Here is a 27,263-nt window from a genome sequence, read left to right on the forward strand (position 1 = left end):
TCCCACCCGCACTCAAGGAGAGGGACCACATGGGCATGAGCACCAAGAGGTGGGTCGTGAGGGACACGCTAAGGTCTGCCTGCCACGGGGAGGACATCAGGGGCTTTGTGTGTTTGTGATATTTTACTTTGCCAACAAATGTGAAACCTCCATGATTCAGGGTTAGGACTGTATGTAGATGATCGTGCCTATGTGGGTAACTGCTAGACTGCCTCGTCTATGGTTTTTATTATGAATCACTCCATGATAACCAGGATTGCCGTCCCTCCACTGCGATGCGGGGAAAGCCCTGAAGGAGAGTGGGCATGCATGGGGCACCCACAGACCCAGCCTTGTGAGGACTGGGGAGCCCACCCTGGTGCGTGTGGTGTAGGCCTGCACAGCTCCTCCTCACAGAAGGGTTTACAGGGCAGCTTCCCACACGGGCATGCAGTCACCCAGGGCTGCCAATGATCGGGTGAAGAGAGCTTTTCAATTATGGGGACAGTGTCAGCCACCCCATGTGGCTGCACACATCGGCCACAGCAGAGGAATCATATTTGCAAAACAGCTTCCTGGATGTAGATTCCACATACATGACAGGGTCTATGAGGGCTCTTGACATATTCTGGATACTAGGCCCTATCGATGTGTGGTTGTGAATGGGCACGCCGCCAATGCCCAGCAGTTCCCAGTGTGGCCTCATCCCTCACTTTCTGCATGCGCTGGGCTGCAAGTCAGCCAAGGAGAGAGAAGAGCCTTCTCGGGCCTCTTCTGGACATGGGCACGGCCCTCAGTGCCCCTTAAGATCCCCAGGAAAACGCCAGAGTGCTTCAAAGTGTCGTGTGGACATCTCATTCCCCTGCTTTTCCTGCTAAAGCGCTTGTTCGCTTCTTGTCTGTCCAACTAGGAGTCCCATCTCAGGCAGCTGCCGTGTTCAGCAATCACCACTCACCATCGTCAGCACAGGCCCTGGGGACAACGAGCTCTGAGCAGATGGAGTCAGGACAGGCCCTGCCAGCAAGGCCCTCCCACAGAGCTGCTGGACATGTCACGCTGTGACAGTTCTCTGGAGATGGGGCTTTTGGGTTCTGAATCCCAGTCTCTCCCCTCCCACGCGGCCAGGCAGCTGGTTTTCCCAGCTCCATGACTGCAAGGAGATGGGCTTTCAATGAGATGAGGGAACCAGGGGGAGGAAGATGGGGACAGGATATTAAAATGCCATGAAACTCACTGTTCTTACCAAGATTCAGCTGTTTTTCCTGAATACTCCCTGAACAGCTGCAAGCCTTTGGTGAGCCTCCAATGTTCTGAAAAAGCTGGCTTGGGCATATTTTGTCAATGTTCTCATTGCTTTTGTGGAGAGTTTTCTCAGGCCTTTGCTTCACCATTCAGGATGTTCTGCTCTTCAGAACAGCCACGTGGATCTCTGCCTGTAGATGTGTTACAAATATGATGCCTCTGCTGTGGCCGATGTGTGCAGCCACATAAGGTGGCTGACACTGTCCCCATAATTGAAGTCTCTGCAGCCCAAGCTGACACCGATGGGAGAGCAGGGGTGTCCCCCTAGATCCCCTTTCCTCACCAGCTGCACCTACCTAGAAAGAATCCTTGCTGGAGATCTACAGGCATAAGAGAGTGCAGCCACCAGACCTCCAGCAAAGTGGAATCCACAAGGCCTCCAGGACAGGTGTGCGTGACAACCAGTGCAATATAAATGTAAATACCCAGACACAGACCCCCACACACACGCATGCAGAGAAGAGGCTGAGGGAGATTTACAGACTGAGCTCATGCAATCATGGAGGCTGGCATGTCTGACACCTGCAGACAAGCAGCAGCTGAAGACCAGGGCAGGTTACTGTTGTGTCTGGAGGACAAGTCTTTCTTGTCTCTGCTCTCTAGCCCTTCAACTGATCAGACAAGGCCCACCCACATCACGGTTCATCCAAGTCTACTGGCTGTAAATGTGCATCACGCCTGCAGATACCTTCACGGCAGCATCTGGTTGGTGTTTGACCACACCTCTGGGCATCGTAGCCGAGCCAGCTGACTCAGAGATTTCACCACCTCAGGGAAGCTCAGTTCCAGGGTTCAGTCATCCACTGTGCTTTGCTGAGTGACTGAACTGGGGACCAGGAGACCCAGGCCAGCACAGCTGAAGGCCGTCCTGGGGTGGGGCACAGGAGCTCATGGCTGCGAAGGAGCTTGCATTAGGGGGTCAGCAGGAGGCCACACTGGCTGTAATACTGACAGAATATCAGGGTGAGAAGGGTCCTGCTGGGTGAGATGCAGGGTCTCAAAGGTGACAGTCATGCCAAGGGTGTGGAGGGAGGGGATTGGGTGCAGGTGGTGTAGGACAGAAGGTTCTATTCCAAAGGACAGAGCCAACTGCACAGCTCTAGCCTGGAGGAAAGCCCACGGCCCCTTGGCCCAGGCTCTGGCCATGCAACATGCAGCTCAGGGACCCAGACTTTGTATCCCCTGGAGCTTCGTAGAAACATGAGCCTCAGAGCCCATTCCAGGCCTGCCTGCCACAACAGAAACCGATGCTAACAAGCTCCCTGGGGTTCTGAGAGCACCGCCGTGTTTCTGTCGAGTGAGCCCTGGGACCCTTCCTGGCTCTTCCCAGGCTGCCAGCCCATCCTCCTGCACAGTCCTCCTGCACTGTCCTCCTGGGCTTGCCTTGGTTCTCTGTGCGGAGCACTGACATCCATAGAGAGCACTGCCATCAACTCCCTCTGGGTCTGTGCTTTCCTCCCATTTCCCCCAAGCCAAGATACAGAAGGTGCACGACACGGGCCCTGGGCAGGAGGACTTGAAAGCAACTTCCATGGCTCACCCCTCACCAGGCTCTGAGCTGATATCTGACCACAGAGGGGAATGTGGTGGGCGTGTGCTCTGCTGCGCACACGTGGTGCCCCTGCCCTGGAGGCTCAAGATCCTGGAGCCAGGCAGGTCCGGGAGGTACCACGGGGGTGCTGTGGGCTCTCCCTGCCTTGGTCTCCTGCTCCAGGCCCAGCACCGGCAGCAGCGCAGCCTCAGAGTTTCCTGGAGGCTCCTTCAGGGAGGTCCCCGGGGTGGGGGGTGGGGGGCATGAGCTTACTTAGGGGCCAAGATGCTAGGAGACAGCACAAGCTCCACAGCAGCACAAGACGCCGGAGCTTCTCATTCTTATTCTGTTTTCTCTTCTGGTTCAAGGAGAGAGGCCACCTTTGTTGACAAACTGGTGTTTTATACGGAGGCATCATCCGGCTGGAATGGAGCTGTCCCCATAACGGTGAGAGTACATGTTGTGATTTGAGGGAGGCTGAGCTTAACAAGGTGACAGCATGCTCCCACCTGCACCCCGGCATAAAAGCATTTCCATTTCGCTTGTACACCTCAATTCATCTTGTAGACCGAGTTTAAAGACAGACATCACTGGAGGCCTAAACGCTGTGGTCATTCACATAAATAAATCGTTTTGTTTTAGCTCCATGGAGCAGCGCCCAGTGGAGCAGGAGGCCTGGTAATGCATGAGGTTCTGTTAAGCCTCATACACAGTAGATTAACATTTTCACAATGAATGAAAAAGGGAGGAGGGAGTTCAGTTCCGTTTTTATTTACTTTTTCTAAAATCACTTCCGACTAAAGAAAAGAGCTTCAGGGTTGACTGGGCTGAGTGCCAAGGCCCTGACCCTGGAACACACAAGTGCACATGGGCATTGCACACACGCACACACATGCACTCACACAAGTGCACACACATGCATTCACACATGTACACACAGGCATTCACACAAGTGCACACACATACACATACCTCACACATGTGCACACACGACCCTGTCCCCATCTTCCTCTCCCTGGTTCCCCCGTGCATGCACACTGACACAGTTGCACACATGCATGATTGTGCATACACACACGTATCCACAGGCACACATCCATACACACCTACAAGCACAGAAGCATGCACACACCACATGCATGCATACTCACACAAAAGTGCACGCATGCATATACCACTTATATACACAGGCACACACCCGTACACACCCACATGCACACATGCTCGTACACAAGTGCACACATGCATATGCCATACAATTGTGCGTGCACACACACACACATATATACAAATATCCCATGCATCCACATGCACACATGGGTACGCACATGCATGCACACACCACACACACGTACACAGACAAACACACAATCTGTCAGAACACACCACACTCTGCTTTAAAATACACAGCTGCTGACCACGTGCAGTGGCTCACGCCTGTAATCCCAACACTTTCAGATTACACTTTGGGAGGTGGGCGAATCACTTGAGGTCAGGAGTTCGAGACTGGCCTGGCCAACATGGTGAAACCCCACCTCTGCTAAAAATCCAAAAAGAAAAATACAAAAATACAAAAATGGTGGCACGTCCCTGTAATCCCAGCTACTCGGGAAGCTGAAGCAGGAGAATCACTTGAACCCGGAGGCAGAAGTTGCAGTGAGCTGAGATCGCATCACTGCACTCCAACCTAGGCAACAGAGACTCCGTCTCAAAAAAATAAAAATAAATAAATTATACAGCTGCTGACTGCATACCATGTGCTGGGGAGGCAGCTGCTGCATACCAGAGCTCTGCATTTCGCACGTGCTGCCCCGGATAGGCCTGTCCAAGGAGCTCTCTATGTACCTATCCATCCTCTTGTCCTCACTCCCACTCTGCTCCCAGCTCTCTGGGATGAAGGGGACCACCTCCCTGTTAGGAAACTGCATCTGCTTCTCCCGCTGCTCAGGTTCAGGCAGTGACCAGGATGCCCCATGGTCCTCAGAAGGGGTGACTGGGGGCACAGCACACCACGGCCTCACTTGCATTTTACCCCAAATTCGGAGATCCCGACTGACCACGCCTCTTCACCCTCCACAAATATTTGTTGGCTGCCTAACGTGCCTAGCACAAGGCTGACCCTGGGGACAGTAATGGGAGCTGGAACAGGACAGCCTTGGGGAGCTCACATTCCACTAAAGGAGCCAGTCCAGGCGCTGCTGGACAAAGGGTGGTGGCTGGAATCACAGCCAAGTGCACAGTGTGCCCAGAGCCTCTCGTGGACACCACGTGGCCGCAGTCCCGTGCTCACCCCTCATCTGCCGCATCTCATTCAGGGCTGACCACAAATGGGAGGTCAGTTCCACTGTTACGTGACTTGCTGACAGTTACAAAACCCACAAGCAGCAAGGCCAGAATTTGACTCCTGGTCTGTCTCACTCCAAAGCCCCCAACATGCCTGAAGGTACAACCCCATATGAAATTTGCAGTTAAGATTCTGTTATCTGGCAGGGGCAGGAAGGCTTTTGAATGAGGCTTGGACAAATTGTGTAAGTATCGGGGCGGGGGTGGGGGCATGTGCTGTGAGCTTGGGCTGGGTGTAGGTCTGGGTGTGCAGTGTGTAGCCGTGTGGGCATGGGGGCATGCATCTGAGTTTGTGTGAGAGGTGTGTGTGTGCACCTGTGTGTGCAGGCACCAAGCTCTGTGTACACTCACGATGCGTGACATAGGCTGCTGTTGTCTGCTGTGGTTTTACAGCAGGCTGGCATTCGTTATTTTTGGGAAACGGTTTCTAAATCAATCAAGCAGAAATGGCATTCCAGATTTGGACTTGTCATATGAGACACACAAATAAGTAACAATTGATGAGAAAAATTTAACCAATTCTTCTCATTTTTCTAGTTCTAATTGGCATTTCCTGCCGTAATGAATGCAACCATATCTGCTCACACACCTAAAACCCACCTAATGGTTTTCTTTCCACCCTGACACTGGAGACACCCTGCACAGCTCACAAAATGTCACACGCTGTTTGTTGTAATGAACCAAATAATTTATAAATGTCAAAAGTAAGGCTGTTTGTATTTATCACCTCTTAAAGGATTGATCAGGTATCAGATTTACACTTCTTTGGATATGCACTTTTTTCCTTTCCTGAATTTCTTGGTATAAATTAAATAACAGCAATTGACATTAAAATTCAATGATGATTCCTCAGTATTTCTTAGGGTCAAGACATGTAGAGGACAAAGAGTCAGGGAATGAGATGGTTCCAGGGGCATCTGGACCTACGTTGTGATAGACACAGAAGTGTTTGCAAAGACTAAGGTGCACGTGTTCCTTAGGATCTCAGTGTCAGCAGCTTCACCCAGGAGCCCATGTGGCTGAGGAGACCTGGACACTTATGTGCACGCACAAACACACAAACATGCACACAGACGCACAAACATGCACAGACACGCAAACATGAAGACACACAAATATGCACACAGATGCACAACCATGCACAGATGCACAAACATGCAGACGTACAAATATGCACAGATGCACAAACATGCCCACAGATGCACAAACATGCACAGACACACAAACATGCACACAGATGCACAAACATGCACACACAAACATGCACAGATGCACAAACATGCACACAGATGCACAAACATGCACAGACACACAAACATGCACACAGACGCACAAACATGCACAGAAGCACAAACATGCAGATGCACAAACATGCAGATACACAAACATGCACACAGATGCACAAACAAGCAGATAGATGCACAAACATGCAGATACACAAACATGCACACAGACACACAAACATGCACAGAGACACAAACATGCACAGGCGCACAAACATGGACACAGACGCACAAACATGCACACAGACGCACAAACATGCACAGAGACACAAACATGCACAGGTGCACAAACATGGACACAGATGCACAAACATGCACAGGCGCAGAAACATGGACACAGACGCACAAACATGCACACAGATGCACAAACATGCAGACGCACAAACATGCACAGAGACATAAACATAAACATGCACACAGACGCACAAACATGCACACAGACATAAGCCTGCGCATGGGCACACGCACACACATGCACAGACACGTGCACACATGCAGCTGTATGCATGCATCTGTGCACATGAACAGACACACAGAGTGAGGTACACGTGGGCCTGCAAGGATGCTGACCTGTGCATATACGAGCACAGACGTGCAGATCTGTAAACAAGCAAGGCCACTGCCTGACATAGTGTCACTCCCAAACCTCAGTGGGAGCAGTCTGTGGTCTTGTGGTCTGCATGTCCACATTTACTCGAGAAATTGCTGCAGAGCCATTCCACCTCCACGAGATTGGCCCTCCTTTTGCGAGAACGAAGTGATCCTTGAAGCTGGAGCAAGATGACCCCAGACAAGCTGCGCAGCCCAGTCTGCCCTCCACAGTGAGAATTTCTTACCTGAGATTGTGGCTGCCCCACAGGTGGTATGCAAGGAGCAGGGAGTTTGACGATGGCTTTGCCTGCCATGAAAGGGAGAATCTCAGACTACAAAGGAAAACCAGCGCCTCTGGAAGTAGGGCCTGGCTCCAGCCTCTGAGAGGGGCAGGCCACCCTCCCCAGAACACAGCAGCTGAAATGCCATACCCTCCTTTGATGCCTGGGGTGGGATCAATACCACCCTTCCCCTCCCCTCTCCCAGCCACCTCTCTCCAAGGGAGCGGCATGGTGGCCTACAGATCTCCTGCTGCTCAGCCTCCCCCTCCACCTGGGCAGGTGAGTCCGGGGCAGGGGGAGTAGGAGGCCCTGTGAGACTTGAGCAGGTGAGTCGGGGGGGTGGTGTAGGAGGCCCTGTGACACCTGGGCAGGTGAGTCCGGGGCAGGGGGAATAGGAGGCACTGTGACACCTGAGCAGGTGAGTCTGGGCGGGGGGAGTAGGAGGCACTGTGACACCTGGGCAGGTGAGTCTGGGCGGGGAGAGTAGGAGGCCTTGTGACACCTGAGCAGGTGAGTCTGGGAAGGGGGAGTAGGAGGCCCTGTGACACCTGAGCAGGTGAGTCTGTGCGGGGGGCATGTAGGAGGCACTGTGACACCTGGACAGGTGAGTCTGTGGGGGGGCATGTAGGAGGCACTGTGATACCTGGACAGGTGAGTCCGGAGCGGGGAGTAGGATGCAGTGTGACACCTGGGCAGGTGAGTCTGGAGGGGGGTGTAGGAGGCAGTGTGACACCTGAGCAGGTGAGTCCGGAGGGGGATGTAGGAGGCCCTGTGACACCTGGGCAGGTGAGTCTGGAGGGGGGTGTAGGAGGCAGTGTGACACCTGGGCAGGTGAGTCCGGAGGGGGGTGTAGGAGGCACTGTGACACCTGGGCAGGTGAGTCTGGAGGGGGGTGTATGAGGCAGTGTGACACCTGGGCAGGTGAGTCCGGAGGCAGGTGTAGGAGGCACTGTGACACCTGGGCAGGTGAGTCCGGAGGGGGGTGTAGGAAGCCCTGTGACACCTGGGCAGGTGAGTCCGGAGGGGGGTGTAGGAGACAGTGTGACACCTGGGCAGGTGAGTCTGGAGGGGGGTGTAGGAGGCAGTGTGACACCTGGGCAGGTGAGTCTGGAGGGGAGTGTAGGAGGCCCTGTGACACCTGGGCAGGTGAGTCCGGAGGGGGGTGTAGGAGGCAGTGTGACACCTGGGTAGGTGAGTCTGGAGGGGGGTGTAGGAGGCCCTGTGACACCTGGGCAGGTGAGTCCGGAGGGGGCTGTAGGAGGCCCTGTGACACCTGGGCAGGTGAGTCCAGACCAGGTGGGGAAGGCCCTGGGCCTTGGGCCACAGCTCACTCTGACCTTTCTTTGTTAGGAAGGGAGTTGCCACTGTGATCTCTCATGGCCCGTGCTTGGGGGTGGGCACAGGGCTGGCATGCCCCCCCTCCTCAGTACCAACAGCTGAACTCTGCAGATTTCACCAGGACACCACAGGCTCCTTAGAACCCACATGCGGGGCCTCTGCGGGACAGAGGCTGGCCTGCTTCCTCACTAAGCAACTCAGAGAAAGTTAAAGCAAAGGCCATCCTCACATTAAGTATCTTATCCTAGTGCTCATGCGTGCTTGGGTTTGAATCCCATCCTCATCGCCAAATATGTACATTTAAAAATTATAAATTTAGAAAGCAGACTTTGCTTTTCATAAAGAGTATCATCTGTGAGGTGGCTTTTTTGACAGGCTGAGAAGCGTAGCCTCTGGCTGAAGTCAGAGTTGGTGCTTCGAAGGAGGGGAGGGTGAAACAGGGCTTTATGTTGAATGGTTGGTCAAGGATACGTATGTAACAGGTTACAGGAGTTATGAATATTCATGATGGGGGAGTCACACACATGCGTGGTAAGCAAACATGCATATTCCACGCATCCCTTGTCATTTGCAGGTGGAGAAGTAACATTTAAATACATTATATTAGGCCCTGTAGGTCAAAAGGCAAGCGGGACACGATGGCCCTCAGGGTGCAGCCTCTGTAAACTGGCCAGATCCAGTCATGTCTGCGTCTCCTACCAGAAGAAAGTTACTGCAATCAGCCTCTTGACCAGTCAAAGCTGTAGCCATGGCTGGCAGAGCAGGGGAGTCCATCACTGTCTGATGGTTCATGAGCTGGAATTGTTTGATATTGTGTAAGTCCTGTGATTGTTGAGCTGTTAGAGAAAAAGGAAAAAATAAAACCTTGTGGCAGTTGAAACACAGTTTGTTTTTTCAGCTTAGGGGTACATGACCTAACCCTTGTCTGACCTGGCCTTAGACTCTGTTCATAGCTTGGTATCCTATGGCCACAAGGCTCCGTTCTGCTGGTTGTCTGATCTCTATTTTAACACAAATGCTGCTCCGCTGCTGTCTATACCATGAGGCATGTCTGACCTCTTGTCTCATTATGGCTGGGAACTCAGTTTTTGAGGTTCCTCTGGGATCCCCTTGGTCAAGTCAGGGCCTGTTCAGTCTGTTGGGGGACTTAGGATTTTATTTTTAGTTCTCAATGTGAAGACATTTTATCCTAATTTTTCATGTCCAGTGCTTTAATGAAATAAAGGGCCACAAGGAAGGCGGCTGTGCCCATGCACCTGCAGACACATCCACCAGATGCCCCTGGCAGTTCCTGGAGGAGCCCATGCTTGGCGACATTGGGTCTGTGTCAGCCCAGCACGGCCGTCCCTAGCTGGCGCATGGAGCAGGCCCACTCTGCATCTGGGCACAGAGGCCATCAGTCCTGACCCACAATTATCTTGATTTCATATTGATGAGGAAGGAGGGCGAAGGCCAGTGGTATATGAGCAAGAGACGGCACAACAGGCAAACACAGAAAGTCGGTCTGTCCCAGGTCCCACTTCCTCCTCCCAGGCTCACTGCATTGGCCTGACCCTGGCTGAGCCTGCAAGCCCTGCACCCACCCCTGCCTGTGGATGGAGGGCGTCTGGATAGGCCCGTGTAGTCAGGTCCCCATGGTTGAACTGCACCCAGAGCAGGAGGAGGCCAAGTGCACCTGTTACTCTCCACGAGCGGCTGATAGAAGAAAACACCCTGCTTCCCGTCCTGTCTCTGGAGGACCTGCCAGAAACTCGTTAGGAAAGCATCGTGCATCAGATGAGCGTGAGTCCATGGGGAGCAGGGCACCGCGGAGGAAGCGCAGGCTGGCCACAGCATGGCCCGCGTGAAGAATCAGGAGCTGGCAAAGTTCCTAGTGAAGGCAGCCAGAGGGGAGCAGCAGCCACACACATCTGGTATTAGACCTTCTCCTCTGGGCCTTTCTCCCCTGCATGGGGAACACGACTCTCTGCTATAAAGAAGACATTTTGTGCTCGTGTTCTGCACCAGCTCAAACTCTGAAGGAGAAAATACTGGGGGAAAGCAAGCCAGCAACCGAAACTCTAACAGATTTCAGGAGACAGACGAGTACGGGTGCTCCAGGCAGGGGCAGCCCTGGCTGTCTGTTTCTAATCCATGCCAACTTTCAGGCCCTGCCAGCCGCACAGCCTCCGAGCTGGCAACAATCAGCCCTCCCTGCCTCCACCTCCCGCCCTACCCAACCCCGGCACACTCTGCTCTTCCTCCAACAGGGAACTGAAGCCCCACATCTTTCCAGAGCTTCCCAGACTTGGACACACATCCTGGCCCTCCTCTGAAGCCCTGCAAGATGTATCGAGCCTGCCAGCCAAAGATGACCACAGAGAGCCTCTCCGTGGGTGTACAGACTGAATCGTGCCTCCAAAAGATGTTAAAGTCCCTACCCCCAGTACTGCGACTGTGGCCTGACTTGGAAGTAGGGTCTCCTCTTCGAAGATGATAGTGTTAAGGTGGAGTTATCAGGGTGGGCCCCCACCCATCACTGGAAATCCCATCCAAGGGGAGATGTGGTCACAGGCAGGACACACACAGAGGGGAGGCCATGTGACAGCCCTTGGCCGTCCACAAGCCAAGGAGGGAAGCCCCAAGAGAAAGCCACCTCCAGAACAGCGAGAAAATCAGTCTCCGTTGTTTAAGCCATGCGGTCTGTGGCCTCTTGTTGTGGCCACCCCGGGAAGCCAATGCAGCTGGAGTTCAGCATGAGTGAAGTTCACGTGTCCCCATCTCTGCGCCTCTCTCCCCCACCCAGGCGCGTCCCCATCTCTGCGCCTCTCTCCCCCACCCAGGCGCGTCCCCATCTCTGCGCCTCTCTCCCCCACCCAGGCGTGTCCCCATCTCTGTGCCTTTCTCCCCCACCCAGGTGTGTCTCTATCTCTGTGCCTCTCTCCCTTACTCGGGCTTAAGTTCCTTGCAGGTAGCAAACCTGTGACATTCATGTGTGATTGATCACTTCTGTGTCTAGTACCAGACCCAAGCATGCAGACTCTGATTTCACGGTTTACCTATGGATCATGTAACCCATAATCAAGGCTGTGTTCACCGACACGGGCTCATAAGTACCACTCCCCACAGTGGGACTCTTGAGCAAACTCATGGTCTGCCCCCCCACGCCCATGACTCTGGGCCTGGATGAGATCATGGGTCACGGAACCAAGGGGGTTTTAGTCTTTGTGGGGTGGAGCACCCCGACCGCCCAAAGTGAAGGTGTGACCTGTCTTTAAAATTCTGCCTAAAGATTACACAAATTCTACGTAATTAGCAAAAACAGAAGACGGAAACATGTAGCCACCACCAGGAACTCTGCTCCTGCAACAGATGAAGTTTCCACGTTCACCTGGGATCTCCCCGCCCCCAGCTCAGGTGAAAATTCACACTCTGTAGCCACAGTCACAGCAAAGGAGCAAATATTTTCTGGTTTGGCGTTTGTTTTGCATGAGTCCTGTTTTATTTGTCATTAAGCAATGGTTGCCAGTGACAGAGTCCAGCTGACACCAGCTTCAGCCTTGAAGAGACAGGTGTGGGCTCTGAAGCAAAGTGCAGCAGATGAAGCTGGGCTCCAGGCCAACTGCCCAGGGTCCCTCGCCCTGCTGTGAAGTGGGTCCCACCCCGGCCCCTTCTCCACACAGCCGTAACGGTGGCCAGCATCCTCCAGGCCATCTGTCACCGACTCTAACACAGGCAGGGGCCCAAGAGGACTGCATCTCCCTGCAGGTAGCCAGGGAGGGCTTCCCTGGAAAGCAGACCCTTGAGAGTGGACAAGGGCCGGTCACAGGTGGGAGAAGAGGATGGCACCGTAGGCACGCTGACCATGGAAGCATCCTGGAGGGAGCAGGAGGCAGAACCCATGGGATTTGGAAGTCAAATGAGTGGGGAGAGAGACGGGTGGACTAAGGCATGTGGTCCGGTATTGATCACAGTGAGCCCGAGACACCCTGGAACACCCAGGAGGGCTCCTGCACGTGCCGTCTCCAGATTCTGGAGCTGTGGAGGGTGTTGGAGCAGCCGAAGGACCAGGAGGACTCACGGAGGACGCGCTGCCCCACCCGCTCCCACTGCCCACTTCTCTTAAGCCCTTCAACTGATACAGATGCTGGCCCTTTAACACGCTTTGCAAAACCTTCACCCAGCCCATTTGTGCCATTATTTTAGGTGTGAGAGTTGTCTTTGGCCCAAAGGTTGAAATGTTTATATAGTTAAATGAATCTTTTCTTCATTACTTGGAAGCTTAAAAATGTGTCCATCCTACATAGACACAAAACCTGCAGCATCTTGGAGATTTGTTTTCCAGAACATCGTACACATTATAACCTCACGTCTCGCTAGTTCATTCCCGTAGCACGCGGCGACACCTCACTCCACCTCGGGTCCTGCCTCTTCCAGAGCCTTGGAGTCCTCTGTGGGACCCTCTGCCCCGGCCAGCAGAGCGGAGGACCAAGCGGAGGGAGTTGGGGGAGTGAGGCTGAAGGGGGTGAGTGTCCCCTACACCCAGACCCCATGGCCTGGGGCTAACAGTAAAAAGTTGGCGACACCATGCTCCCAGCCACCACATCTGCACCCGAGGGAGCGAAGGCCCTGAGCCGCAGGGACCATGGAGCAGCCATCTGGCTCTGTGTCTGACCCTAAGGTGCACGTGGCCACACCCACAGGTCCCACGGCCCTCACGCTGATGACTCTGGAGCTGTTTTGCCGCCGTCACCCCCTGCGCCTCCCTCTTTTGTTAAGTCCTCTTATTTGAGATTTAGTCTTAGGAAGCAACATCTTACATTTCTCTATACTCGCCTCAGCAGCAAACATGTTTTGGCCTCTGTTGTTACCTTATTTCTGATAACTTAATTTTCTTGACAAGCTTAATAGTATTTGTAAGAAGACACCCCACCCAACCTTCCCAGGCACTGGGAACACACAGAGGAGCTGGAACGCGGTGTTCTCTGTCTTCACGATATTCTCCGTCCTTGGCAGCATCTTCATTAGCCTGCCTGTGGCCGCACCAAGCGCCAGCACAGCTGGCCTGTCCCCACAGGAGTCCCCGTGTGACTGCACAACCCCATCTGCCCGGTCACCGTCGCACCCCGCTCAGCGTGACATTTAACGAGGTATGTAGGGTCAGGCAGGTTAAACGTGAGAAAACTAATTTGTATAACGGCAAGCAGCAACTATAGGCACACACGTGCTTAAAAGATGTCTTCTACTGTATTAAGTTAACAGATTTTCATAATCACATAGAGTGGAGCAAGATGATTGAGTTAAGGGATTTACTTAGGAGCCTGGAAGGGATGTTAGTACATCTCTGTGATAATTAAGAGACTGCTAATCTCTTAACCTCTGCAATAAGATATGCTTCATTATTCTTTAAATTGTAGCTGACACATAGTATACCTGAAGCACCAATTTAATTCCTTTCTTCCTCTTTTTTTAATTTGGTCTCTCCCCCCAGCCATGAGGTACCCACGCAAGCAGGAGCAGTGATTTACCTGCCAGCCTTTCGCTGGTGCGAAGAACATTTCATTTTGCTAACGATATTTGCTGTTTGATAGAGCTCCTCAAGGTAAACTTCTCAAAACACCAAGTCCTTATAATCCTCAACTTATCTTCCAGACAGAAGCCAGGGGTAATTGTCTGGCTTCGTGGCAGTTTTCCAGCCCTGTGTATTGCTGTTACCAAATTACAGGAACCAAATGGACTTCTAAAGAAAATGGTGATGACGGCCCCCAGTGCACAGCAACATCAACCCGGCGCTGGGCGTTCGCGGCATCAATGGAGCTGCACAGCCCTGAGGAGCTGCCAGACAGGGCCGGGGCCACAGGGACTGCAGGGCAAAAGCTTTGCAGGCTCAATCTTCCTTTGGTTTAAATTTTCGTCCTCATTTTTTGCTGTCATGATTTGATATGCACCTTCCAAAGGACCAAAGAATGCCTGTGCCAAAGTGAGGGGAAGTGGGATAGGACACTCAGGCCTGCATGTGAGGTTTTCCCAGTGTTTGTAAAGAATGGAATTGAGGTCTGGCCCTTTAAGGAAAAGACCCTGAGGGGGATTTTGAGCAGAGACCAGCTCAGACACAGGTGGCCAGGGAGCCCCAGGAGGGTGGGCAGAGGCTGAGGGAGCCCCAGGAGGGTAGGCAGGTGCCGTTGGAGCCCCGGAAGTGTGGACAGGGGCAAAGGGCGCCCCCGGGAGGGTAGGCAGGGGCTGAGGGTAGGCAGGGGCCGAGGGAGCCCCCGGGAGGATGGGCAAGGGGCTGAGGGAATCCCCAGAGGTTGAGCAGGGGCCTTGGGAACCCCAGAAAGGTGGGCAGGGGGCTGAGGGAATCCCCGGAGGTTGAGCAGGGCCCATGGGGGCCCCGGGAGGCTGGGCAGGGGCCAAGGGAGCCCCGAGAGTAGGGACGGGACCGAGCGAGCCCCAGGAGAGGGACAAGGGCCATGGCAGCAGGAGCATCCTTCAGGTTGGGAACAAGACCGCAGCCTCAGGAAGCCAGGCCGGGGCAGTGAACAACTGCGTGATTGGGAGTTTGAGCCTAATTACAGAACTGGAGACGGGAGAAGGCTACAAGGAGGCTAAGGGGTTTTCCTGTTAGGTTTCTACAAATCCAAAAAAAGTCATCTTAGCATAAAGATTCCTGAGTTTACAGATTAAGTCAGAGGAAGAACAGGACTGGGTCATCATGAGACTCTTGGATTAGTTTGCAGGAAACTGTATCTGCTTGCAAATGGGCAAACAAAATACAAGAACAAAAATCATACTGTACTAACCTAAGAATCTGGACACATCTACCACAGACTCCATATTTCTGAGAATCTAGTAAAAGAAAAGTTTCTTTATAGAAAGATGGTCACTACGTCTTTTTAATGCCTGGCGGAAGCCCTCAGTGCCCCCTGCGGACGCAAGGAGGAAACCCCAGGCCATCCCTTTGTGAGTGAGAAAGTGGTTAAAACATGGCCTGGAAGACCAGGCTATAGGGAGACGTCAAAGAAAACCAGAGCTGGGCAGTAGTCGAAGCAGTAAAAGCAGATTTTACTCAGTCCTTCCTGAATAGGGGGAGAGAGACCGGATTCAGCTCTGAAGACAGCAGGAATAAGGGGATCACAGCCAAGGAGCAGCGTGGGGGCAGGGGACGGGAAATTACCAAGACAAAACACCGCGCTCAGAGGGTTCTGGTGAAACCAACCTAACAGGATTCTTGCTGAAGTGAGGGTATCACCCGGGGACGGCGGCGTCTCCTGACCAGTTATCTAGGTGGGGGTTCTTGCCAAAAGCGGACAAGGCAGAGACAACCACAGAAGTCCAAAAGTTGAGGTCTCATTGAAAAGTTCAGGGGGGCTGCGTGGAGTTTCTCAAGGAGAGAATCTCTGTCAGGAATCAAATCCCTGGACTCACAGTTAGCAAGTGTTTCTACAGCAGGCTCCACGAGCGGGGCCTCCTCTTCACTGCAGAGTCCCCGCCGTGATGGCCTTTATGCTCCTGCTAGCAAGGACATTAACAGGGTGGGAGGCGAGGGGAGACCTCAGTGCTGGTTTCCATGCGGAGGCAGAGGCAGCTCCTTGGTGACAGGATGTTAAGTAAAGACATTCCTGAAGAAGACTTCTAACAGAGTAAACACTGGGGCAGATGAGAGAGAAGTGTGAGTTTAATGTCTGGTTCTCATGTAAGATATTTTTAAAATCCCTTTGATCTAAACTTTTAAAAGATACTTTTCCCTGGATCTACAGGGCCATCGGTTTCTTCTTTCAGTTCTATGGCGTTTCCTTTAATAAGCATTTATTACCTTTTAAATAAAAACAATCAGTTATATACTTTAGGTCAGACCAAAATGTTTACATGCCATAATTCGTATCATTTCACAATTAAATAGGATTAAAAATGGCCCAATTATCAGATTCTGACCAGATGATCCTTCCCCCTGCGGCCCCAGCCTATCATTTCATAATAGGATTAAAAATGACCCAATTAGCAGGGCACAGTGGCTCACGTCTGTAATATCAGCACTTTGGGAGGCCGAGGCGGGTGGATCACTTGAGGTCAGGAGTTCGAGACCAGCCTGACCAATATGGAGAAGCCCCATCTCTACTAAAAATACAAAATGAGCTGGGCATGGTGGTGCACTCCTGTAATCCCAGCTACTCAGGAGGCTGAGGCAGGAGAATCGCTTGAACCCGGGAGGAGGAGGTTGCGGTGAGCAGAGATTGCGCCGTTGCACTCCAGCCCGGCCAACAAGAGCAAAACTCCGTCTCAAAAAAATAAAAATAAATAAAAAATAAAATAAAATGAAAATGAGATTCTGACAGATGACCCCTTCCCCCCCTGCCCCATCAGTCAGAAGGTCTGGGGAGAGGAAACAGAATAGAGGGTGGTATGAAAAGAGAACAGCCAAGCACGTGAGAAAAGGAATGAAATATATCAGCCCACAGATTTAAGAAATTCAGTCAATCTCAAACTCGATTAACATACAGAAAACTAATGTTTATTTCCATCATAATAAAACTGCTGAAAACAAAAGGAAATCAGTACAATCTTAAAAACAGAAAAAGAACCAGCTTGGGCAATGTAGTGAGACCCTGTCTCTCCTGAAAAAAAAAATTTTTTTTAATTAGCCAGGCATGGTGGCGCACGCCTGTGATCCCAGCTACTCGTGGAAGAGGAATCACTTGAGCCTGGAAAGTCAAGACCACAGTGACCCATGGTGGCGCCATGGCACTCCAGCCTGCCTGACACAGCTGAGACCCTGTCTCAAAACACAAGCAAACAAACAATACGGTTCACAAAGGCGACAAAAAGGCTTCTCAAAAACTTACCAGGTGAATATAAAGTTGATCAATTCTTATTTATATTCACTTATAAGGTGAATACAAATTTGACCAATTCTTATCTGAAATATTAAAATGAGACAGAAATATCCTTAGACCAGCTAAAAATTTGTGATATTATCAAAAACAAGCAAACACAGAAGACAACTGAATCGACGTGGAACCTCTGACGGAGCCGGAATTGCTCTGTCATGTGAGCAATGTAAATTTGATAAATATAGATTTTAGTTAAATATACCATTAGGCAAATTGATAATTAAGCCAATTAGTTTTAGGTGATTTGACAGTTAGTGATTTGGCTCCAAGTGATCTGGCTTAATCCCAGCAGGAGGAGATCCAGAAAGACAGGCTGGGAGGTTATGGAAGACAAAGGTGAGGAGGGCCCTTCTCAGGGGGTTCTGACAGTTGCACCCCCACGGGGCTGAGGAGAAGAGTTGGGGCCTTTCTCCAGGTGACTGTGGTATTGAGATCCTGCAGTCAGGCAGCACAGAGTCTGGACAAGCAACAGAGAATGCAGAGGACTTGCCATTCCTCCTGCCCCCTACCCTCCATCATGATGTGATAGCTGGACCCACCAAATGGAGCCCCAGCACTGCCAGCTCTTCAGAACTCCAACACCATGGGACCCCTACAAGCCACCCTGGGTATGGTGCCGCCCTCTCATGACTGGCTAAGCCAGCTTTCTCCCAGGGCAGCAAAACGAGGACACTATCCCCACCCTGCTCAATTCTGTGTTTAAGTCCTTGGACAATTGAGGGTTGACGGAGACACATCCCAGTTCATCTTCTCTTCGTCTCCATCATTAGCTTCGGTATGTGCCTGCCGGGACTCCAGTGACAAAGCACCACAGGCCGGGTGGCTTAACAGCAGCCATTCATTTTCTTACAGTTTTGGAGGCCAGAAATCCAAGATGAAGGTGTTGGCAGGGCTGGTTTCTCCCGAGGCCTCTCTCCTTGGCTTCTCACTGTGTCTTCACTCTGCCTTTTCCCCAGACAAGAGCCCCACTGGTGTCTCTTCCTCTTCATGTAAAGACATCAGTCCCATCAGATCAGAGCCCAGCCCTAGTGACCTTATTTAACCTCAATTATCTCCTACAGAGCCCAACCTTAGTGACATTATTTATGCTTAGTGACCTTAATATGCTTCAGCATATTAACCTGGGAAGGAACACAATTCACCCTCTAGCAACTTCCCACACCTGCTGTCCTTCCAGTCTCTGCAGAGGAAATCTCCATCCTTTCACCAGGTAGTCCCAGCCTCCAATCCTGGCACACCCACAAAATGAAGAAGAGACCTGCCAAGGGAGAAACTTAGAAATGGAAAAGAAAACAGAACTGGACTGTATAAAATTCAGTGGTGTGTGTACCTCTTAATAGCACTCTGGCTAGCAATTTTCAACTATGTTTCCTAAGATTAAAACCATCATTTGGAATGGATCCCATTCCCAATCTAATGTAAAACAAATACCGATAAAACGCCTGGTGAGATAAAGTAGATTATCTTGATTCCAACGGCAACTGCAACTGCTTATGGTCCTTTCAAACACACTCCCCTCGCGAACACACATTATCTCTCTGACCTTCATCCTCTTGTTTACTGATGGCAGTTGGAAGATGACCAGTTGGAGTTAATTTTCCATTTTTAATTTGCTTGTCAAGTTTTATGCCATTCTGTCAGTAAAATACTCCAATATTGCTAAAATAAAACCTACTGAAACTGTGATTGCCTAAATCAGACACTAAAGTAAGGCCTTCGGGTTTTACGATACAGTAAAATGCAAATTGGGACTCGTTTATGCAATGAAGTGAATGTTTCCCTACTCTTCCTCTGGAAGAAAGAGCCGGCCCCCATCTGCGGGCTGCCCTCAGCCTGGCATCCTGACCTCCAGCCACCTCAAGCATAGCAGAACTACCGTCTGTATTTTAGGATGTTGGTGGTGGGCTGCTGTCTACCCCAGCCCAGCGGTGAGAAAGCGCAGGAGGACCACAGAGCCACGCTGGATAAACAAAGATGTTCCTCTGGGTCTCCCGGGTGCCTTCCTTCCTGCTGCTTTCCCTCCTGCATCAGAGAGGAGCTCAATGCTAAATGTTTATGGGCTTCTCACACTTCATTTGATGGAACTAGGAACTTCATGATGGGCCTCTGATGGGCCAAGGGAATTCTAGCTTATTTGAGTTTGGGGCTTATATAAGCCATTATGTAAGTCACCAGCTCATGTCCTGTAGAAACTGCACGTTTTCCCCAGGCTGCCTTCAGCTTCACAGACAAAGTCAGGGTAGAAACAGGGTCTGAGGGAAATTCACGAAAAGCCACGATAGTGGTCTGCTGGGTGAGGAGTCAGACGCGGAGTAATGGGGCCATCACAGGAGCGTCAGAGTTTCCTGTTTGCTCCCCACTCCTGGTGGAAGCCGGCTCCAGTGGAGGATCAACGGCACCTGCAGCTGCAGGTTCTTGGAGAGCACTCTTAGGTGGCACCGGGTCTCACATCTGCCCTCGCACGTGTGCAGACGCTCTGCCTGGGCCAGGAATGGCCTGGGCCGGCCCCTCCAGGCCAGCTGCCTCTCCACTCATTCAGAGTGTCTTCCCTCCTGATGGAAGTCATGCATTTACTGTTACAGCAGATTTAGCAGTCAGAACAGTCCACCACGCCGCCCTTCATCCCACTCCTCCGAGATGACCTCCGTATAGGGTCAGGAGCCCGGCCGCTTCCTCCCGGCTCCTTAGCCCCGAACCCGGCCTCGCTCCTCAGCTGCGCACTTGGGGAGCGAATGCGCAGTCCCTGGGCGGCTGCAGTCCACCCAGGTCACAGGCTGACGCGCGATTCTTAGGGGTGAGAAGGGGGTGACTGGGGCAGCGGAGAAAGCGGAGACAGAGACAGGGTGTGCCCAGGGCGCGGGCACCGGGAGGTCCAGCCTGCGAGGCACGTGGCCTGCCCAGCTGCGGACGGGCGCGGCCCCACCACAGCCCACAGCCAAGTCCGCCTCACCTGCAGCTCCCGCGCGGAGCAGCCAGATCCATGGCGGCCCTGGGGGTGTGGAGTGGAGAGCAGGCCGCTGCCTCCCGAGGGCCCCGGGCGGTGAGTACGCACCCACGGAGCCCTCGGGGGCAATCACCGCAGCCTCCTCCTTGTCCTCTCCGCGGGCTCCCGGCCCAGCCCCTAAGGCCGCCAAGCCTGAGGCCTGGCTGCCCAGCGAGGGGAGGGCGGCTCCTGGGCACCTTCTTCCCGTCGTCCCTCGCGGCTGCACGCGACGACTCTAGCCCCACCCCCTTCCCACCATCTTTTCTGCTCGCGCTGGGACTTCCGCTCAGGGCCTCAGACGCCGGGACCTGCTGTTCACGCCGGGGCGGGCCGCTGGCTGTGTCCGCCTGAGCTGAGGTCTATGGCCCAGAGGGTTGCTGACCCCGCCATCCTCCCTGTGTCCAGCCCACTGTCTGCTGCCCTGTGTCCCCACCCGTCCTGACCCCTAGGCTGCCAGGTGGGGACATGGCCATGGTGTCATTGCATCCCCCTGCTGACCCCGCCTGGGCCCTGACCTTGACCCTGACCTCCTAGAGGCAGTCACAGGGAGAGGGCTGCAGGGCTGGTGGTAGTGGTGCCATCCTGGCCCCCTTCATGACCCTGCCTGGCCGCTAATGCTGACCCTGACCCCCGCCCCCCAGGCTGCTGGGCTCACGGTCCTCACGTCATCAGCTTCTGTCACGGCCCACCTGCCCCACCACCCTCTCCCCATGACTGCCACCAGGAGGCCACCCTCATGGGGCCATCAGCCCCTCCAGCAGCTCAGTCCCCGAAGCCTGGCCCCAGGCACCCGATTGCTTTCCTGCTGGCCTCTCTCTAGCTTTAGGCCCCAAGAGGCCCAGGCCAAGCGCGGTTTATTACAAAATCCCTGGCAGTGTAGCTGGTACGATTTTATTTATTGATTGGAGGAATGAATGAGCTGGTGAATCCAGCACTGTTTATAAAAACGAGGTGTAGGGAAAAGCTTAAGTGTCTAACCATCAAAGAGTGAAACAGAATGCGATGGAGTCTTTAAAAAGTTACATTGAAAGTTTTTTTAATAGTTGTGGAAAATGCTCATTATAAAATGTTAGGTTTAAATGTCATGTAGTCTATGACAAACATGTCTCAGGTTTCATGCAACAGAAACAGCTCTGGGCAGCACTGTCATGAAAGACCAGAGGGTACTGTTCTGTGACCTTTGCAGAGAACGGTGCCCAGCACTCTGTGCCCAGTCAATGTTGGGTTTATTTTAGCACTAATTATAAAAATGGAGGACTTTTTTCTATACATATGCTTTGACATTTTTCTCCAGAATTCTCTTCATTTGTTTTACTTAACAGTATAAAATATTTTTATTAAAAATAATTTTTTTAAGGATCTCGCCGGATCTTAAGAACATAAACCCAGGCCTTAGTAAACGTATCTCTCACACTCTGCAAGGTTTGGGGTCCCCTGTGGTAGCCTCCTTGTCATAAGACCTTGAGTAGGTCCCGTGAGCTCACCCTCAGGAAAGAGGTCACAGAGGAGATGAAAAGGCTAGGGGGAAGCAAGCCCTGGCTGCTCTGCAGAAGGAAACACGAGGTTCACTCTATGATGCTTAGGTGAGCAGGCAAACTCATGGGCATGACACGGAGGGCTCTACTCAATACGCACCAGCATTTTCAAAAGAGAAAGGGATGTAGTTTAGCAATGACAGCCTGCTCTGAAGAGACATCAGCAAAGTGGCAGCAACCGGATTCTGTAGATGAAAACCCTGCCTTGGGTTGGAGCCTGAGCTGGACAATTGTCCCCTATTAGGATGCTTCTACCAATGAGGAACAAACAATGCAGACTCATAATGGCCTGAACAATAAGGAAAGTGTGTCCATTAGATTTTATTGTGTAACAAACCATCCCAAAACTTAGTGGCTTAAAATAACCACAATTTATCATTTCTCGTGAATCCAGGTTTCCTAGGTGAATCTTCTTGCCTGGGCTCAGGTATGTGGCTGTGTTTAGCTGGCAGGTTGGCTGGGAACTGTTCTTTGAGGATGAAAGACCCATGGAGAGGAAGGTTCTCAGCCAGCAGAACCTTCTCCTCAATGGGTCTTTCATCCTCAGAGAAGCTAGATAAGACTTCTTTATGGAAGCATCTAAGACAGCAGGAGTAGGGGCCTTTTAAGGCCAAGGCTCAGAACCATACAGTGTTATTCCCACCACATTCTAGGAGTCAAAGCAAGTCGCCAGCTGAGATTTGAGGGTGGGGAGAAGACCCCAATTCTTGATAGGAGGAGCAGCAAAGAATATATGACCGTATTTAATCTACCACAGAAAGTCAGCATCTCAAAAGACAGGAAATTCAGAAGTAAGGTGTAAGGTGGATTTCCGGTGGCTGATCAAGCAGTGCAAGGATGCGAACCAAGGTCCAGGTCCTCTCCTGTCCTCTGCATCTTCCATGTGGGTTTCATCCTCAGGCTGGGAGAAAGATAGCCTTAACAGTTCCAGGCATCACATCCAGATGCAAAACATTCAGAAATTCAGGAAGGACTGTCTCTTCTTGTAGATATCTCCTAGGAGTGACGAAACTTCTCTGAATCCCTAGAGTGGAGCTCCTGCCATATCTCACCAGTCAGAGCTAGGTCACATGCCCGTTTCTCCCCATTGGCAAGGGGAACTAGAGTCACTTGGATCATTGCACCCCATCGCTGCACCGAGCTGCGAGGTTGGCTTCCCCTGAGGCACTGGCTGTGTGGATAGCTAAACAAAGTCAGGATCCGTTGGAAAGGAGGGTGCGGGAATGGAAACTCAGTGGGAGGGTAACCAGCAGCGTCCACCTGTATGAACCTTTATTGGGAGCTTTTGTTTAATCCCACGTGAGCAAAATCACACCATTGGCTCAGGCTCTCGACCTTACAGGCAGAAGATAAGATCTGTAGGGATAGTTCAAATCAGATGGACATTGTAATCTTCCAAATAAACGCCACACGTATCTGAGAGCGAAAAGTTCTGATTTTCCTGCTCAGATCCCCATTTAGCTTCAAGAGTTGTAAAACGTGATTTAATCTGACAGCCTCTACCATCTCCAGCTCTGAGAATGCCCCAGGGCGCTGGCCTGCCTTCCAACATTATCTGTGATTGATGCTGAGATAATTGTCTCCCCAGTCACATTTCGGCAACAGAGTGAAATGATTTGCAGTGTGGAGGCCAAGGTTCTTTTGGCTCAAATTGTGGCATGTTGGAGACCCGTCATCAACATGGCTGTAGCTATGAGTGTGAACGTGGAGCTCGGTCACCACACAGTCACCTTCACGTTAGCAAGAAAGCAGGTTTCAATCATGGAACCAACAAGAGGTATTTTCAAGTTTTGTGGTTCATAAACCTCAGGGTAGAGCACAATGGATGCAGATCAACCAAGATACGGTGCCCAAAAGAACTGGAAACACGTCCACACAAAACTGGCACGCCAATGTTCCTAGCAGCACCCTTCACAACAAACAGCTAACAGATGGAAACAACTCAGGTACACATCCAAGGATGGATGGACAGCAAAATGTCACAAATTCATACAGTAGCATCTTATCAGCAGTAAAAAGGAATGAATTGGTGAGGCAATGCACACCACACATGAACCTCAAAAAATTATGCGAAATAAAAGAAGCCAGTCACCAAAGGTCACATACTCTGTGATTCCATTCATATGAAATGTCCAGAACAAAGACATTTATGGAGACAGAAAGTAGCTTACTGTTTTCCTAGAGCTGAGACTGGGAACCTGGGGTGAGGTAGAGTAGGGAGAGTGATTGCTAAAGGGCATGGGGCTTCTTTCCAGAGTGATGAACATACCCTAAAGTTTACCTGTGGTGAGAGTTGCACGTATCCGTGAATAAACTGAAAATGATTGATTCATATACTTTAAAATGTTGAATTATATGGTGTGTGAACTACATCTCAATAAAGCTTATAAAATAGCAAGGATAGGCCGGGCACAGTGGCTCACGCCTGTAATCCCAGCACTTTGGGAGGCCAAGGCAGGTGGATTACAAGGTCAGGAGATAGAGACCATCCTGGCTAACACGGTGAAACCCCGTCTCTACTAAAAAAAAATACAAAAAATTAGCCGGGCATGGTGGCAGGCGCCTGTAATCCCAGCTACTTGGGAGGCTGAGGCAGGAGAATGGCATGAACCCGGGAGATGGAGCTTGCAGTGAGCCGAGATTACGCCACTGCACTCCAACGTGGACGACAGAGCAAGACTCTGTCTCAAAAAAAAAAAAAAAATAGCAAGGCTACATCACATCTCACTCCTAGTTACCACTGGATAGATACCCTGTGTCTACCGTGTCAGTTGTGGAATTGTAGGTTCCTTTGGTCCCCCGAAACTCAGGGAGAGATGGTAGGGTCACACTTGGGCACCCAAGTCAGCCTGTCTCCACAGGCAGGGACCCTGGGTCTCCACACCCCCCGTAGTGTCAGCTGCAGGGGCCAGCATGGCTGTTCCTGCATGTGTTCTCCACACCCCCCGTAGTGTCAGCTGCAGGGGCCAGCGTGGCTCTTCCTGCCTGTGTCCTGCAGGCTCCTCTGCTGGCCCCTCTTTACGGTCTCCCTGAGGCCCAGACTGTTGCCAGGGAGGAATCATCCTGGAGATGGACGAGCGCTGAGGCCTTGCTGCTTGCATTTAAGCAGCCTTTACTTTTGTAGACATTGAAAGACCAAAGAGAGGAGGCTTAGGGAGGAATGTTGCCAGAAGCAGCCCCTCAGGTTTGTTCCACTTTAATCGGACAGCATCCCTTGGCTGTCCAGACTGACAGTGTTTTATTAGGAAGCGTCTCAGCTTCTCTGTAGTAGACAGACTCCAGGGTCACCCCCATCTCCTGCCCCCTGGCCATACCCTTGTGTACCCCTCCCCTTCAGTGTGGGCAGCACCTGGGGCCAACTTCTAAGGGGAGCCCACAGTCAAGGTCACGACCCCTTGTGTATGGTTATGTGACTATGTTACATGGAATTGAGCTTCCATCTTTATCTCTCCCCTTCTTCTCCACCTCCCACACACATACTTCTTTTTCTGGCTTTAGGAAAGCAAGTCAGCCAGGCACCGTGGCTCATGCCTGTAATCCCAGCACTTTGGGAGGCTGAGGTGGGCAGCTCACTTAACGTCAGGAGTTCCAGGCCAGACTGACCAACATGGTGAAACCCCGCCTCTACTAAATACAAAAAATTAGCCCGGTGTGGTGATGCACACCTGTAATCCCAGCTATTCAGGAGGCTGAGGCAGGAAAATCACTTGAGCCTGGGAGGCGGAGGTTGCAGTGAGTCAAGATTGCGCGACTACACTCCAGCTTGGGCAACAAGACCGAAAACTCCATCTCCAAAAAAAAAAAAGAAAGAAAGAAAGAATAGAAAGAAAGTCATCACGTTGGAGAACTCGGTACTCTAAGAAACAGGGTGGCCTGTGAGACCCAAGGGCAGCCTGGGGCTGGCAGCCAGCGAGAAACTGCAGCCCTCAGTCCTACAACCCTAAGGAACCAAAATTTGCCAGTGACTTGAGTCAGCAGAGAATCAGATTCCTCCCAGCCCTGTCTCTGATGAGGCCACAGCTCAGGCTGACATCTTGACAGCAGCCTTGTCAGACCCTGAGCGGGGCCCAGCTTAGGCACCCGGACTCCTGATCACAGAGAATGTGAGACGGCCGGGTGTGTTGCTTGAAGCCACTAACTTCGGGGAAACTTGTCACGCAGCAATAGCTAACTTATCAAACTCTCATTCAGGTTTGTTCCAATCTCACCTTTTTAGTGAAGCCCGATCTCATCGCCCATGTGCCTCTGCCATGATCCCTCCTTCTGATCTTTACCTACCAAGCCTGGGTTGCCCTCTCTTCACTGTGTTCAAGCACACGTCCCCTTCTCAGTGACCAGGGAATGTGGGTATTGGGTCTGTTCATTCCTCCTCGCAGTGCTAGTCTGTGAGCTCCAGGAGGGCGAGCACCTTCTCATTTGACGCTAACGTACCCCAGGTGCCTGGCAGTGCTCCAGGAGAGCGAGAACCTTCTCATTTGATGCTCATGTACCCCAGGTGCCTGCCAGTGCTCCAGGAGGGCTAGGACCTTCTCATTTGATGCTCATGTACCCCAGGTGCCTGGCAGTGCTCCAGGAGGGCAAGAACCTTCTCATTTGATGCTCATGTACCCCAGGTGCCTGCCAGTGCTCCAGGAGGGCGAGAACCTTCTCATTTGATGCTCATGTACCCCAGGTGCCTGCCAGTGCTCCAGGAGGGCTAGGACCTTCTCATTTGATGCTCATGTACCCCAGGTGCCTGCCAGTGCTCCAGGAGGGCTAGGACCTTCTCATTTGATGCTCATATACCCCAGGTGCCTGCCAGTGCTCCAGGAGGGCGAGAACCTTCTCATTTGATGCTCATGTACCCCAGGTGCCTGGCAGTGCTCCAGGAGGGCTAGGACCTTCTCATTTGATGCTCATGTACCCCAGGTGCCTGCCAGTGCTGGCCCATCATAGATGCTCAGTCATCAGTCGTTAAGTGACGCTTGAGTCAACCAGCCAGGCCATCGTTTGCCAGAGGAAATCCAGTCCCTGAGATGAAGGTGAGTCGTGGCAGAGTGGAAGGCCTCATCCACATTCCTAGTTTCTCCTGTGTTCACATCCGGCCCCCTGTTCTGGCGGGGGCCCTGCCCTGTGCTCAGAGCAACGCGGCCGCCTCCCTCCAGGGTCCCACACCTGCCGCATCACCTCCCCTGGGGTGGCACGGGCACACCTGGCTCTGCTCCCACCCTGCTCTGGCCCCCATTCCCAG

The 27,263-nt window shown here is 52.1% G+C and overlaps 1 long non-coding RNA gene and 1 other non-coding gene across 3 annotated transcripts in view, besides 2 other annotated features; both read right to left on the bottom strand.

Annotated features, from left to right (window-relative positions):
• Positions 1–27,263, bottom strand: part of MIR3667HG (MIR3667 host gene) — a 242,996-nt gene that overhangs the window by 106,364 nt on the left and 109,369 nt on the right. The gene's annotated exons all lie outside the window — the stretch shown is intronic.
• Positions 2,541–3,041: an enhancer, noted in NCBI's record as "H3K4me1 hESC enhancer chr22:49917077-49917577 (GRCh37/hg19 assembly coordinates)". NCBI's record gives its function as "activates a minimal SCP1, AML or CMV promoter by ChIP-STARR-seq in naive H9 embryonic stem cells {active_cell/tissue: H9 hESC(naive)}" and the evidence as "EXISTENCE:reporter gene assay evidence [ECO:0000049][PMID:30033119]".
• Positions 4,935–5,438: an enhancer, noted in NCBI's record as "H3K27ac-H3K4me1 hESC enhancer chr22:49919471-49919974 (GRCh37/hg19 assembly coordinates)". NCBI's record gives its function as "activates a minimal SCP1, AML or CMV promoter by ChIP-STARR-seq in naive H9 embryonic stem cells {active_cell/tissue: H9 hESC(naive)}" and the evidence as "EXISTENCE:reporter gene assay evidence [ECO:0000049][PMID:30033119]".
• Positions 22,506–22,579, bottom strand: MIR3667 (microRNA 3667). Its single transcript, NR_037440.1, has one exon. It is a non-coding gene; the product is annotated as a microRNA 3667 (primary transcript).

The sequence above is a fragment of the Homo sapiens genome, chromosome 22 (assembly GCF_000001405.40).
Source record: "Homo sapiens chromosome 22, GRCh38.p14 Primary Assembly".
NCBI lineage: Eukaryota > Metazoa > Chordata > Mammalia > Primates > Hominidae > Homo > Homo sapiens.